We start from the raw sequence: 12,302 nt of genomic DNA, 5'->3' as shown, positions 1-12,302 counted from the left end.
GACAACTGAATATTATTATTGCACCTTTTTTTTTTTCAAATGTTGGGTAAAGGGCAGTTTCAAATCTAGATAGTACTTATGCATATTCTTCTTTTTTTTTTTTTTTTTCCCCAAGATGGAGCCTTGCTCTGTCGCTCAGGCTGGAGTGCAGTGGTGCAATCTCGGCTCACTGCAACCTCTGCCTCCCAGTTTCAAGCGATTCTCCTGCCTCAGCCTCCCGAGTAGCTGGAATTACAGGCGCCTGCCACAACACCTGGCTAATTTTTGTATTTTTAGTAGAGACGGGGTTTCACCATGTTGGCTGGGCTGGTCTCGAACTCCTGACCTCGTGATCCGCCCACCTGGGCCTCCCAAAGTGCTGGGATTACAGGCGTGAGCCACCGTGTCTGGCTGCATATTATTATTCTTTCTATGCCTTCTGATAGCCCTTCTGTTGATTTATATGTAGCATACTTGTAATGGGAGAGCAGTTATAAAGTTGAATAAAAAATAATGCATAGGTGTATCTTAAGATAAATGTATATATTGTAAATGGTGATTTTATATAATTATACTTTGAAAATTAAGTCAAATATTGATGTTATTCCTTTCTAGATAGAAAAGGAAATCTAGATAATAATAGATTCTGTTCCAACTACTTTGATCACTTTTATTTTAAATATTTTTTCAATTACAATATAATGTTTAAAATTCAAATAATTCAAGTACCTATAAAATATGGTAGTTCTTAACATTTGTACTCCCCAGATAAAATCATTATTAATAAATTGGGATGTGTCCTTTCAGACTCTGTACACATTTAAACACTGTTGAGTTTGTGTGCATGTCTGTGTATGATAAAAATATTCATTAATGCTGCTGGTGACACTAAAGTTGTGTGACTATATACCGTTAAGGGGACTGAATTTCAGGCAAGAAACAGATATGCCTTTTTTATAAACCATTTTGACTATCAATAGGGTAGATAAACTTTTAAACGTGAGGATTACGTCAGGAAGGGTAGAGAGATGCCAACAATTCTTTCAGCAAATGAATACCTTTACCTTTGGAATTCTGTCTAGTTGAAACAGTCCTGTGTTCCTACTTTATATTTGGAACCATTTATTCAAATTATTAAAAAATTTTGAATTGTTTCTTTAAATTTTAAATTTAAATAAACAAGTACTTCATTTTATGGTCATAAATAGTTGAGTTCAGAGTTCGTTTTGGGTGTTTCTTTTGGGGCTTTAAAAATACATTTTGGCTGGGCATGGTGGCTTACACTTGTAATCCCAGTACTTTGGGAGGCCGAGATGGACAAATTGTCTGAGATCAGGAGTTTGAGACTAGCCTGGCCAACATGGAGAAACCCTATCTCTACTAGAAATACAAAATTAGCCGGGAGTGGTGGCGCACACCTGTAATCCCAGCTACTCGGGAGGCTGAGGCACGAGAATTGCTTGAACCCGGGAAGTGGAGGTTTCAGTGAACAGAGATTGCGCCACTGCACTTCAGGCTGGGGGACAGAGCAAGATTCTGTCTCAAAAATTAAATAGGCTGGGTGCAGTGGCTCAAGCCTGTAATCCCAGGCCTACTTTGGTAGGCCGAGGGGGCGGATCGCCTGAGGTCAGGAGTTCAAGACCAGCCTGGCCAACATGGTGAAACCCTGTATCTACTAAAAATACAAAAGTTAGTTGGGCATGGTGGTTTGTGCCTGTAGTCCCAGCTACCCAGGAGGCTGAGGCAGGAGAATTGCTGGAACCTGGAAGATAGAGGCTGCAGTGAGCCAAGATCATGCCACTGCACTCCAGCCTGGGCGACAGAGCAAGACTCTGTCTCAAAAATAAATAAATAAATGAATAAATAAATAAAAATACATTTCATATAGGTATTAGATTTTTAAATTTACTGCTTTGCCTCATAAATTGCAAAGTAAAAAATTCAAATTGCCTTTTTAAATATTTAAAGTTAGAAGGCTAGGCACAGTAGCTCACACCTATAATCCCAGCACTTTGGGAGGCCAAGGCAGGAGGATGGCCTGAGACCAGGCATTCAAGACCAGCTTGGGCAACACAGGGAGACCCTGTCTCCAAAAAATAAATAAACTTAGCGGCTGTGGTGGCACACGCCTGTAGTCCTAGCTACTCAGGAAGCTGAGGTGAGAGGGTTGCTTGAGTTCAGGAGATCAAGGCTGCGGTGAACCATGATTGAGCCACTACTTTCCAGCCTGGGTGACAGAGCGAGACCCTATCTCAAAAAATAAATAAATACCTAAAATTTAAAAATTAGAATGGTGACCTCTTAAACTTTTTTTGATGTTGACTTTAAACTTTTAATTCCATAATTTTATTAGAAAAAAATTAGAAAAAATACATTTTAAAAAATGTATTTTAACATATTTTAAACAATTAAAAGTTATTCACATCAAATAGGAAAAAAATTGGATAAACCAAAAGAAAAAGCGTTCATAGTACCACTGCCATATATAGCTACTGTTTCAGGTAGAAGATTGAAGGTTATGAGGGGGGAAGGATTTGTGGAAGCAAGGCAGTAGTATAGATTTTTTTTCTACATTTATATATACACAGTACATTGGATAGAAGTATTTTTACTTTTGTAGTATGAAGAAACAGTTGAATTATAAAGTAAAAATAATTGGAGACTAACAAAAATATAAATTAACATAATTGTTAGAGGCTTTTCCAAACTGTTCCTATTCTCTAAAAGTTTGCTTTCGAATAAAATGGTAGAAAAACTATTTCCCTTTTTTTTTGCTATTATTTTGTTTTATTAGATTCTTGAAGAGAAAACAAGATTCAGGGAAAAGTCAGTAGCATATAATCATTAGTTGTATTTTATATATGTAACATTGAAGAATGGTTATCATCATGCTGCTTCGATTAAGTTTATTCTGGATTGCTTTAAGGCACTGTTTAAAAGGAAAAACCTCGTTTATAATATTCACTCCGCCAAGGGTGTCTAAGGTAGATAATACAGTTATGGGTTCTTAGCTTTTGTTTCTGGTTGGGCCAGTAGAGCCCTTTCCTCATCACGCTTTTCTGCTTATCACTAGAGACAGAAATTAAAACCGTAGCTTCAGGCTGCTAAAAGCCTAAAACAAAACAAAACAGGAAAACAACAAAATAAGGCTGGTTAGAAAAGCTTGCATCTATACATTCATTCAACCAATACTATGAGTGTTGCCATCTGTTCAGCACTGTGCGAGGCCCTGGGGGTAAAAAGTCAGATAGGCCACTGACCTTTCCCTGAATCTGAAAAGTATAAAAGGGAAACCTAGTCTAGAAGGTAAAACAGAAAAGTTAATTAACCTGAAGTGTGATAAGGGCTGTGGTATTCATATATGTAGGAGCATCAAACAAGGGTACCTACCTAACCAACACTCCAAAGAATCCTAAAGGAAGTGATACCTAGATTGAGTTTTAAATGATACGTAACAATTATTGGCCTTTAGGGAACAGGAACAGTTGTGTGGTGGTATAACATTGTAAAAATAAGGGTATGGTATGATGTCAGATGGGAAAGGCAAGGTCCAACTCTTAGAGTGCCTTGTATGCCATGGAAAAGGAACTTGGACTTTGCCATACGGCATTGGGGAACCATTATAGGTTTAACTCTGAATGCTGTATAGAGGAGGGATTTATGGGGGATAAGACTCAAGGGAAACCAGCTGTGAGGAAGTGGCAGTAATCCAGGCATTGAACCTGGGCGTTAGGAGGGTTGGAGAGAAATGCAGTGGAGAGCCATAGGAGAGTGGTGCAGGACTTGTGCAAAGTGTCAAAACCCTGCTTCCTGATCTCTAATCCTTTTCCTCATTTTGGTACCAACAAACATGACCTTCAGTGGAGATATTTGTTTAGCAAAAGAGATTACCTATTTTTTTCTCCAACCAGTTGTTGATGCCATGAATTTCTATTAAGAAAAGCCTGGATAGTTCTTTCAAATTTGCCGAAACACAACTTGACCTTTTTTTGTGTGTGCGCCTTGCTCTGTCAGCCAGGCTGGAGTGCTGTGGCACGACCTCGGCTCACTGCAACCTCTGTTTCCTGGGCTCAAGCAATTCTCCTGCCTCAGCCTCCAGAGTAGCTAGGATAACAGGCATGTGCCACCACGCCTGGCTAATTTTTGTATTTTTAGTAGAGACGGAGTTTCACCTTGTTGGCCAGGCTGGTCTTGAACTCCTGACGTCAGGTAATCTGCCTGCCTCGGCCTCCCAAAGTGTTGGGATTACAGGCGTGAGCCTGGCCAATTTGACCTTCAGTAGAGGTTTAATGTCAATGGAAAGGAGGGTATAAGCTTTGGACTGATACACAGGATTCAAATCCTGGCTCTCCCACTTACTAGCTGTGTGATCTTGGAAGAGTTATTTAAGCTCTCTGAGCTTGTTTCCTTGTCTGTAGAGCTTAGTTGTGATGAGTTAATGAAACTATGTGAAGAGCCTGCTCAGAGCTTGGTAGATAATAGAGGCTTACATGGTATTTCCCTTAAAGCAATGGAACAGTGGGGCCATATTGCTTTGAAGGGGGTAAAAATTTGTTCTTGGAGGAGGAAGGGTGAAAAAATCTTATGATTAATATATAAAACTAAGATGTATATACAGTACATAAGCAGATATAAGGTATATCTGTGTAATTCAAATATCATGAGGACATGGGGAGGACTAGGAAAATAATGCCTGTAAAGGCTCCTTAGGGGGAGATAATGAAAACAAGGTTGACAAACACTGCAGTAGAGTAAGTGATTTGCCTGTTTAAATTAGGAATAACTAGGTATGTAAAGTACCTAAGAGATGTGATTTTTCTTATTAATCAGTTGGTCAGTTCTGAGGAGTTCACCATTTTGGCACCTATTCATTCTTGTGGTTTTTGTTTGTTTGGACTAGTCAAGTGCAGGTAGTGAGAAGGGGAGAAATGGTAGAATAAGCAGTTCCAACTGTAACTGAACAGTCAGTTGAGATAACTCACTACCTTTAGACCAGCCCTGTTTGGATTCTTATCAAAAAAATTAAATACCACCCTATCTTTTTTTGATATGTCTTCCAAATAAATGCTATACTAGAATATTTTAGAAAATATTAAGTGCATTTAGGACAACATTGACAATAACGAAATGAAAGGTTATCATCATAGAAATAATTTATCCAAGTGAGGTTTAATAGTAAGCTCAGCAATCAGAGCCACCACTAGTGGTTATTAATATTTCTTTATTTGTGGACTCTTATTAATATTAAACTTCTGTGTGTCCATCCTTAAATATAGCTATTCTAGTAGTACTGCATCATTAGTAAATGTTTATAAGTAAATGTTTTGATTAACTGAAACTTTAATTGTCAAGTCTTCTAAAACTTGTCTACTTTAAGCTGGTATAGTGAAGGTAAGTTTAGCCAACTGCCACATAAAGTCATACCCTGTTTATGAATGTGAGGTGGGATTAGAACTCTGAGATGTTGTAAGTACATAGTGATTAATTAGCAGTGTCAGTCACAACTATTCAGAGCTCAGGTCCAACAATATAATCTTCATGTAGGGAAGACAAAAGTTAATTTTTTGTGTTAAAAATTAAAAACTTCCTGATTATAAAAGTAGTATGTATACATTAGCAGATTAGAATGTAAACTATAAAGCAAATAAAAACAGCCATAGTAACTGTTATGTTCCTGCCATTCTTTATTGATTTCTTCAACAGTGATGATCATTCTTTACTTTTTATTTGAAATTTCTTACTGAAATAAGTACTGAAATAGCCCCTTCTGTTTATTTCTTGGTTTTAATATAAATATAAAATTTATATTTACAATTTTGTATTTTACTTTCAAAAATATCTTTTTTTTTTTTTGAGATAGAGTTTTGCTCTTGTAGCACAGGCTAGAGTGCAATGGCACGATCTCAGCTCACTGCAACCTCCACTTTCTGGGTTCAAGCTATTCTCCTGCCTCAGCTTCCAAGTAGCTGGAACTACAGGTGCACGCCACCACGTTCAGCTAATTTTTGTATTTTTAATAGAGACAGGGTTTCACCATGTTGGCCAGGCTGGTCTCGAACTCCTGACCTCAGGTGATCTGCCTGCCTGGGCCTCCCAAAGTGCTGGGATTACAGGTGTGAGTGAGCCACCATGCCTGGCCCAAAAATATCTTTCAATAATCTTATCTGTTCTAGTACAGAGTTTACAGACTAGTTTCCTTTGAGCTGGATTGAGTCTTCAGATATATTTTGTTCATCATAATATTGACTATCTTGACTTGTGGTTTTTTCTTTTTTTGAAACAGGATCTCACTTTGTCACGCAGGGTAGAGTGCAGTGATGCAAACACTGCTCCCTGCAGCCTTCACCTCCCGTGCACAAGGGGTTCCCCCCAGCCACTCCACTGCTTCAGCCCTCTTAAGTAGCTGGGATGACAGGCACATGCCACCACGTCCAGCTATTTTTTTTTTTTTTTTTTGTAGAGATAGAGTTTCGCCATGTTGCCAAAGCTGGTATCGGAACTCCTGAACTCAGGCTATCCACAGACCCCCAAAGTACTGGGGTTACAGGCATGAGCCACCATGTTTGTTGACTCATGCAGTTCTAAAGATGCTTTTTAATTAGTTCCCACATTTTAAAATTGGGAGAATTCATATTAAAAACTTGAATTTTGGGCTTCTCTTGAAAAGCCACATGGTCTTGAGACACTAGGCGTGCACTCTTCCATGACAGCACTTGGCAGTGGCTGGCACATTTAGATAGGCCATGCATTTTCTAGTATGCCACAATCTGTCACTCAGTATCATCCCTCTATGGCGTGTCAGGCTGTTTCACTCATTTAGGAGCTCTGCCTTGATGTTTATTCTAGGCTAATCCTTACTAAAGCAGCCCTGGATGGAACTCTTTTGTTTGTTGCTAATACTATATCTGTTTTTGTCTTACAGGAGAAGATGTATGGTCTTATGCAAAGGGACTTCCTCACATGTTTCAGCAGGGTGGTGTATTCTACAGTATTATGAAGAAAACCATGGGTATAGTTAATTTGATTTTATTCTTAAATAATAGCTCTACTGAAGCTGTTTTAAGATTAAGAAAGTTCATATAGTTTTCTACTAAAATATTTTCAAAGTTAATTTTAGGTTTATATTCTTTTAGCAGTTTGCCTAATTAAAATGAATTATTACCCTGATATGGTCAGCTATGTTTTCTGCTAGTATTACTAAAAATCTATCACTTTGTTGCTATTCTTTTCTCACTTAAATTATGTGTATGGGTGTATGATTCTTTTTTTTTTTTTTTTTTTGAGATGGAATTTCGTTCTTGTTGCCCAGGCTGGAGTGCAATGGCGCGATCTCGGCTCACTGCAACCTCTGCCTCCTGGGTTCAAGCGATTCTCCTGCCTCAGCTTCTCGAGTAGCTAGGATTATAGGCATGTGCTACCATGCCCGGCTAATTTTGTATTTTTAGTAGAGATGGGGGTTTCTCCATGTTGATTAGGCTGGTCTTGAACTCCCGACCTCAGGTGATCTGCCCGCCTTGGCCTCCCAAAGTGTTGGGATTGCAGGCATGAGCCACTGTGCCCGGCCATGTGTATGATTCTTTTTTTTTTTTTTTTTTTTTTTTTTTTTGAGACGAAGTCTTGCTCTTGTCCCCCAGACTGGAGTGTGATGGCGCTATCTTGGCTCACTGCAACCTCCGCCTCTGGGTTCAAGCAATTCACCACGCCCGGCCATGTGTATGATTCCTAACAACTAAAGACAAATTGTGAAATCAGAAGCAGATTTGTTTATAATGCTAGTATTCCAGAACCAGATAATGTTTGTGTTGTTGTTGTTATGTTTGGCCATATTTAGCGTATATCTTATTGCTTTCTAAGTTCTAGGATACAGCTCATTATACATTTAGCTTCTTTCACATTGTGCATACATTGTTTGTAAAGATAGACTTGTGTACAAGTGTATGTCTGTATCTTCAGAGTGGTCTTAGGAGAGAGGTTGCCAGGCCATGTGTTTGGACTTCACACATTTTTTTCAAAGATTTTATGTTAATGCTTTCGGCCCCAGATTTACCGTTCTGGCTTATCTATTTCACCTACCTGGCCACTGTAGGCATTAATTGCATAATCTTGTTGTTTTCATCTCTTCCTCATACACTTTTTTTTCCTTCCAACTTGGTTGTTGTAGAAATATTCAAACATATACAAAAGTAGCAAGAGTAATGTAATGAATCCCCATTTACCTACTACCCAGCCTCAATAATGATTAGTACATCTCTGTCCCCTTTTTAATTGGACTATTTTAAAGTAAATCTCAGATATACTATAATTTCACCTGTAAGTACATTGGTACATATTTCCTTTTTTTCCTTCTCATTTTCTCCTTTGAATTTCAATATGTATTTCTAAAGATAAGGACTCTTTAAAAAAAAAAGTCATTATTACAACCTAAAAAAAGAACAGTATTTTTTATGTCACCAAATATCCAGTCAGTGTTTGAATTTTCTTGATAATTAACGTTGATAATTTTCTAAAAAATGTTTTCTTCTCTTGGTTTTTCTTTAATCAGAGACCAAAAAAAGCCTTGTTTTTTTTCTTTTAAGACAGGATTATTGAGGCATAATTTATAAACAGTAAAATTCACTCTTTTCAGACTTACAAGTATACGAATTTTGTATACTGTATATGAATTTTGACAAACATATATAGTCATGTAACCAACACCACCACCGTAATAAAAATATAGAATACTTTCATCACTCCAAAAAGTTTTCTTGTGCCTCTTTGTATTCAACTCTCCTCAATCCCAGGCCCTGACAACCATTGATTTGATTCTGCTCCTATATGTTTGCCTTTTTCATATTACCATGTGAATGGAATCCTATAGTGTGACCTTTTGTGTCCGGCATCTTTAATTTAGCACAGGAATTGGCAAACTGTGGCCTGTGGGGCCATCTCAAGTCTGCTGCCTGTTTTTTTGTTTTAGAGACAGGGTCTCACTCTATCTCCTGGGCTGGAGTGCTGTGGTGCAGTTATAGCTCACTGCAGCCTTGACCTGGGCTTAGGTGATCCTCCCAGCTCAGCCTCCCAAGTAGCTGGGACCACAGCCATGTGCCACCATGCCCAGCTAATTTTTTGTATTTTTAGTTGAGATGGGGTTTCGCCATGTTGCCCAGGCTGGTCTTGAACTCTTGAGCTCGAGCAATCCTCTCGCCTTGACCTCCCAAAGTGCTAGGATTACAAGCGACAGATTACAAGCATGAGCTACTGCACCCAGCCTGCTGCCTGTTTATATAATTTATTATTATTATTATTACTAGTTTTGAGACAGAGTCTTGCTCTGTTGCCCAGGCTGGAGTGCACTGGTATGATCGTGACTCACTGCAGCCTCTAGCGTCAATCCTCTGGGCTCAAGTGATCCTCATCCTTCACCCTACTGAGTAGCTGGGACTACAGGCATAAGCCACCATGCCCGACTAATTTTTTTTACATTTTTTGTAGAGACAAGGTCTCACTATGTTGCCTAGGCTTGTCTTGAATTCCTGAGCTCAGGTGATCTTCCTGCATCGGCCTCCCAAAGTGTGCGATTACACGTGTGAGCCACTGTGCCTGGCTGAATACTTAAAAGTTTTACTGGGGCTGAGCACAGTGGCTCACACCTGTAATTCCAGCACTTTGGGAGGCCGAGTTGGGCAGATCACTTGAGGCTAGGAGTGTGAGACCAGCCTGGCCAACATGGTAAAACCTCATCTCTTCAAAAAATACAAAAAAATTAGCCGGGTGTGGTGGTGCACGACTGTAGTCCCAGCTACTTGGGAGGCTGAGACCCGAGAATTGCTTGAACCCAGGAGGTGGAGGTAGTAGTGAGCCAAGATCATGCCACTGCACTCCAGCCTGGGTGACAGAGTGAGACTCAGATAGATAGATAGATAGATAGATAGATAGATAGATAGATAGATAGATAGATTAGATACATAGATGATACATTGGATAGATTAGATCAGATAGATGACAGATTAGGTAGATGGACGGATGGATGATAGATTAGATAGATTAGATAAATGATCAATTAGATAGATTAGATTAGATAGATAGACAGACAGACAGTTTTATTGGAGCACAGCCACACTCATGATTACATGTTGTCTATGGCTGCTTTCACATTACAGTGGCAGAGTTGAATACTTGTGAAAGAAACCATATGGTGCACAAATGTTGCCCTATACAGAAAAAATGTGCCTATTTGTTTTAATATGCTTTTGAGATCTGTCTTGTTGCATGTGTTAGTTTATTCCTTCGTTTTTTAAAAACACTTTGAATAACTAGAGTTTATTCCTTTTTATTGCTGAGTAGTATTCCATGATATAGATGTGTCACATTTTAAAAGACCTGTAACTGGCCAGGTACTGTGGCTCACACCTGTAATCCCAGCACTTTGGGAGGCCAAGGTGAGCGGATTGCTCAGGAGTTCAAGACCAGACTGGGCAACATGATGAAACCCCATCCCTACTAAAAATATAAAAAATATAAAATATAAAAAATATATAAAAAATAGTTGGGCTTGTGCCTGTGGTCCCAGCTACTCAGGAGGCTGAGGTGGGAGAATCAATTGTGTTTTTTTCTAGGAGTTTATAGTTTTAGGTTTTATATTTAGGTTTATGATCCATTTCAAGTTGATTTTTTAATATGTTGCAGGGTATGAGTTAAGGTTCATTTTTTAATGTATGGATGACCAGTTGTTCCAGCACCATTTGTTGAAAAGGCTTTATGTTATCCATTGAATTATTTTGGTATATTTGTCAAAAATCAGTTGACCATGAGTCATACACCTGAAAAGGATGAATTATGTGATATGCAAAATATACCTCAGTGAAGTTACTTTTTCTTAAATCAACTGACTATATGTGTGGTTCTATTAGTATTTGTAGAATCTCTTTTCTGTTTTGTTGATCTATATGTCTCTCCTTTCTCCAGTACAGTAATAATCCTGATTATTGTATCTTATAGTTATTCTTGAAATCAGTGTGAGTCCTCCATCTTTTTTTCTTTTTCAGAATTGTTTTGGGTGTTCTGAGTCCTTTGTTTATCCATATAAATTTTATTATTTTTATTTATTTATTTATTTACTTACTTATTTACTTACTTATGTTTTTGAGATGGAGTCTTACTCTGTTGCCCAGGCTGGAGTGCAGTGTCGCAGTCTTGGGTCACTGCAACCTCTGCCTCCCAGATTCAAGCCATTCTCCTGCCTCAGTCTCCCAAGTAGCTGGGATTACAGGCGCCTGCCACCGCGCCTGGCTAATTTTTGTAGTTTTAGTAGAGACAGGGTTTCACCATCTTGGCTAGGCTGGTCTTGAACTCCTGACCTTGTGGTCCATCCGCCTTGGCCTCCCAAAGTGCTGGAATTACAGGCGTGAGCCACCATGCCTGGCCTATTTATTTATTTAATTTACTTATTTATTTATTTTTGAGACAGAGTCTTGCTCTGTTGCCTAGGCTGGAGTGCAGTGGTGAGATATTGGCTCACTGCAACCTCTGCCTCCTGGGTTCAAGTGATTCTCCTGTCTCAGCTTCCTGAGTAGCTGGGATTACAGGTGCACACCACCACACCCGGCTAATTTTTTGTGTTTTTAGTAGAGACGGGGTTTCACCATGTTGCCCAGGCTGGTCTCGAACTTCTGTATTTATTTATTTTTTTGAGATGGAGTCTCACTCCGTCACCCAGGTTGGATGGAGTGCACGATCTTGGGTCACTGCAACCTCCATCTCCTGGGTTCAAGCAATTCTTTCCTGCCTCAGCTTCCTGAGTAGCTGGGATTACAGGCGTACACCACCACACCTGGCTAATTTTTGTAATTTTCGTAGAGACAAGGTTTCACTATGTTGGTCAGGCTGATCTCAAACTCCTGACCTCAAGTGATCTGCCTTCCTCAGCCTCCCAAAGTATTGGGATTACAGGCGTGAACCACCGCGCCTGGCCTATCCATATAAATTTTAGAATCAGCTTGATTTCTTCAAAAAGAGTCTGCCAGGATTTTTATTGTGATTGCATTGAATATACAGGCTGTGCCTGATTTAGGACTTTTTGACTTTATGATGGGTTTATCAGGGTATTAAATGCATTTTGGGCCAGGCACAGTGGCCTGTTATCCCAGCACTTTGGGAGGCCGAGGCAAGCGGATCACTTGAGGTCAAGAGTTTGAGACCAGCCTGGCCAACACTGTGAAACCCCGTCTCTACTAAAAATATAAAAATTAGTCAGGTGTGGTGGCATGCGCCCATAATCCCAGCTATTTGGGAGGCTGAGGCAGGAGAAGCCCTTGAACCCAGGAGGTGGAGGTTGCATTGAG

General features: G+C 39.3%; 1 protein-coding gene across 1 annotated transcript in view, besides 3 other annotated features; it reads left to right on the top strand.

Moving 5' to 3' along the window:
- The window catches only part of VCPIP1 (valosin containing protein interacting protein 1), a 38,745-nt gene that overhangs the window by 8,786 nt on the left and 17,657 nt on the right, over positions 1 to 12,302 (top strand). Inside the window, exon 2 of the mRNA NM_025054.5 lies at positions 6,902 to 6,988. Coding sequence (NP_079330.2) covers positions 6,902 to 6,988 — 87 coding nt within the window. The remainder of the gene's footprint in view (positions 1 to 6,901; positions 6,989 to 12,302) is intronic.
- Positions 6,035 to 6,084: an enhancer, noted in NCBI's record as "active region_27488". NCBI's record gives its function as "activates an Ori minimal core promoter by ATAC-STARR-seq in GM12878 lymphoblastoid cells {active_cell/tissue: GM12878}" and the evidence as "EXISTENCE:reporter gene assay evidence [ECO:0000049][PMID:35858748]".
- Positions 6,195 to 6,334: an enhancer, noted in NCBI's record as "active region_27487". NCBI's record gives its function as "activates an Ori minimal core promoter by ATAC-STARR-seq in GM12878 lymphoblastoid cells {active_cell/tissue: GM12878}" and the evidence as "EXISTENCE:reporter gene assay evidence [ECO:0000049][PMID:35858748]".
- Positions 6,345 to 6,394: an enhancer, noted in NCBI's record as "active region_27486". NCBI's record gives its function as "activates an Ori minimal core promoter by ATAC-STARR-seq in GM12878 lymphoblastoid cells {active_cell/tissue: GM12878}" and the evidence as "EXISTENCE:reporter gene assay evidence [ECO:0000049][PMID:35858748]".

The sequence above is a fragment of the Homo sapiens genome, chromosome 8 (genome assembly GCF_000001405.40).
Source record: "Homo sapiens chromosome 8, GRCh38.p14 Primary Assembly".
Classification (NCBI taxonomy): domain Eukaryota; kingdom Metazoa; phylum Chordata; class Mammalia; order Primates; family Hominidae; genus Homo; species Homo sapiens.
The sequence above is the reverse complement of the archived record's forward strand: the minus strand, read 5'-3'. Positions and strand labels throughout refer to the sequence as shown.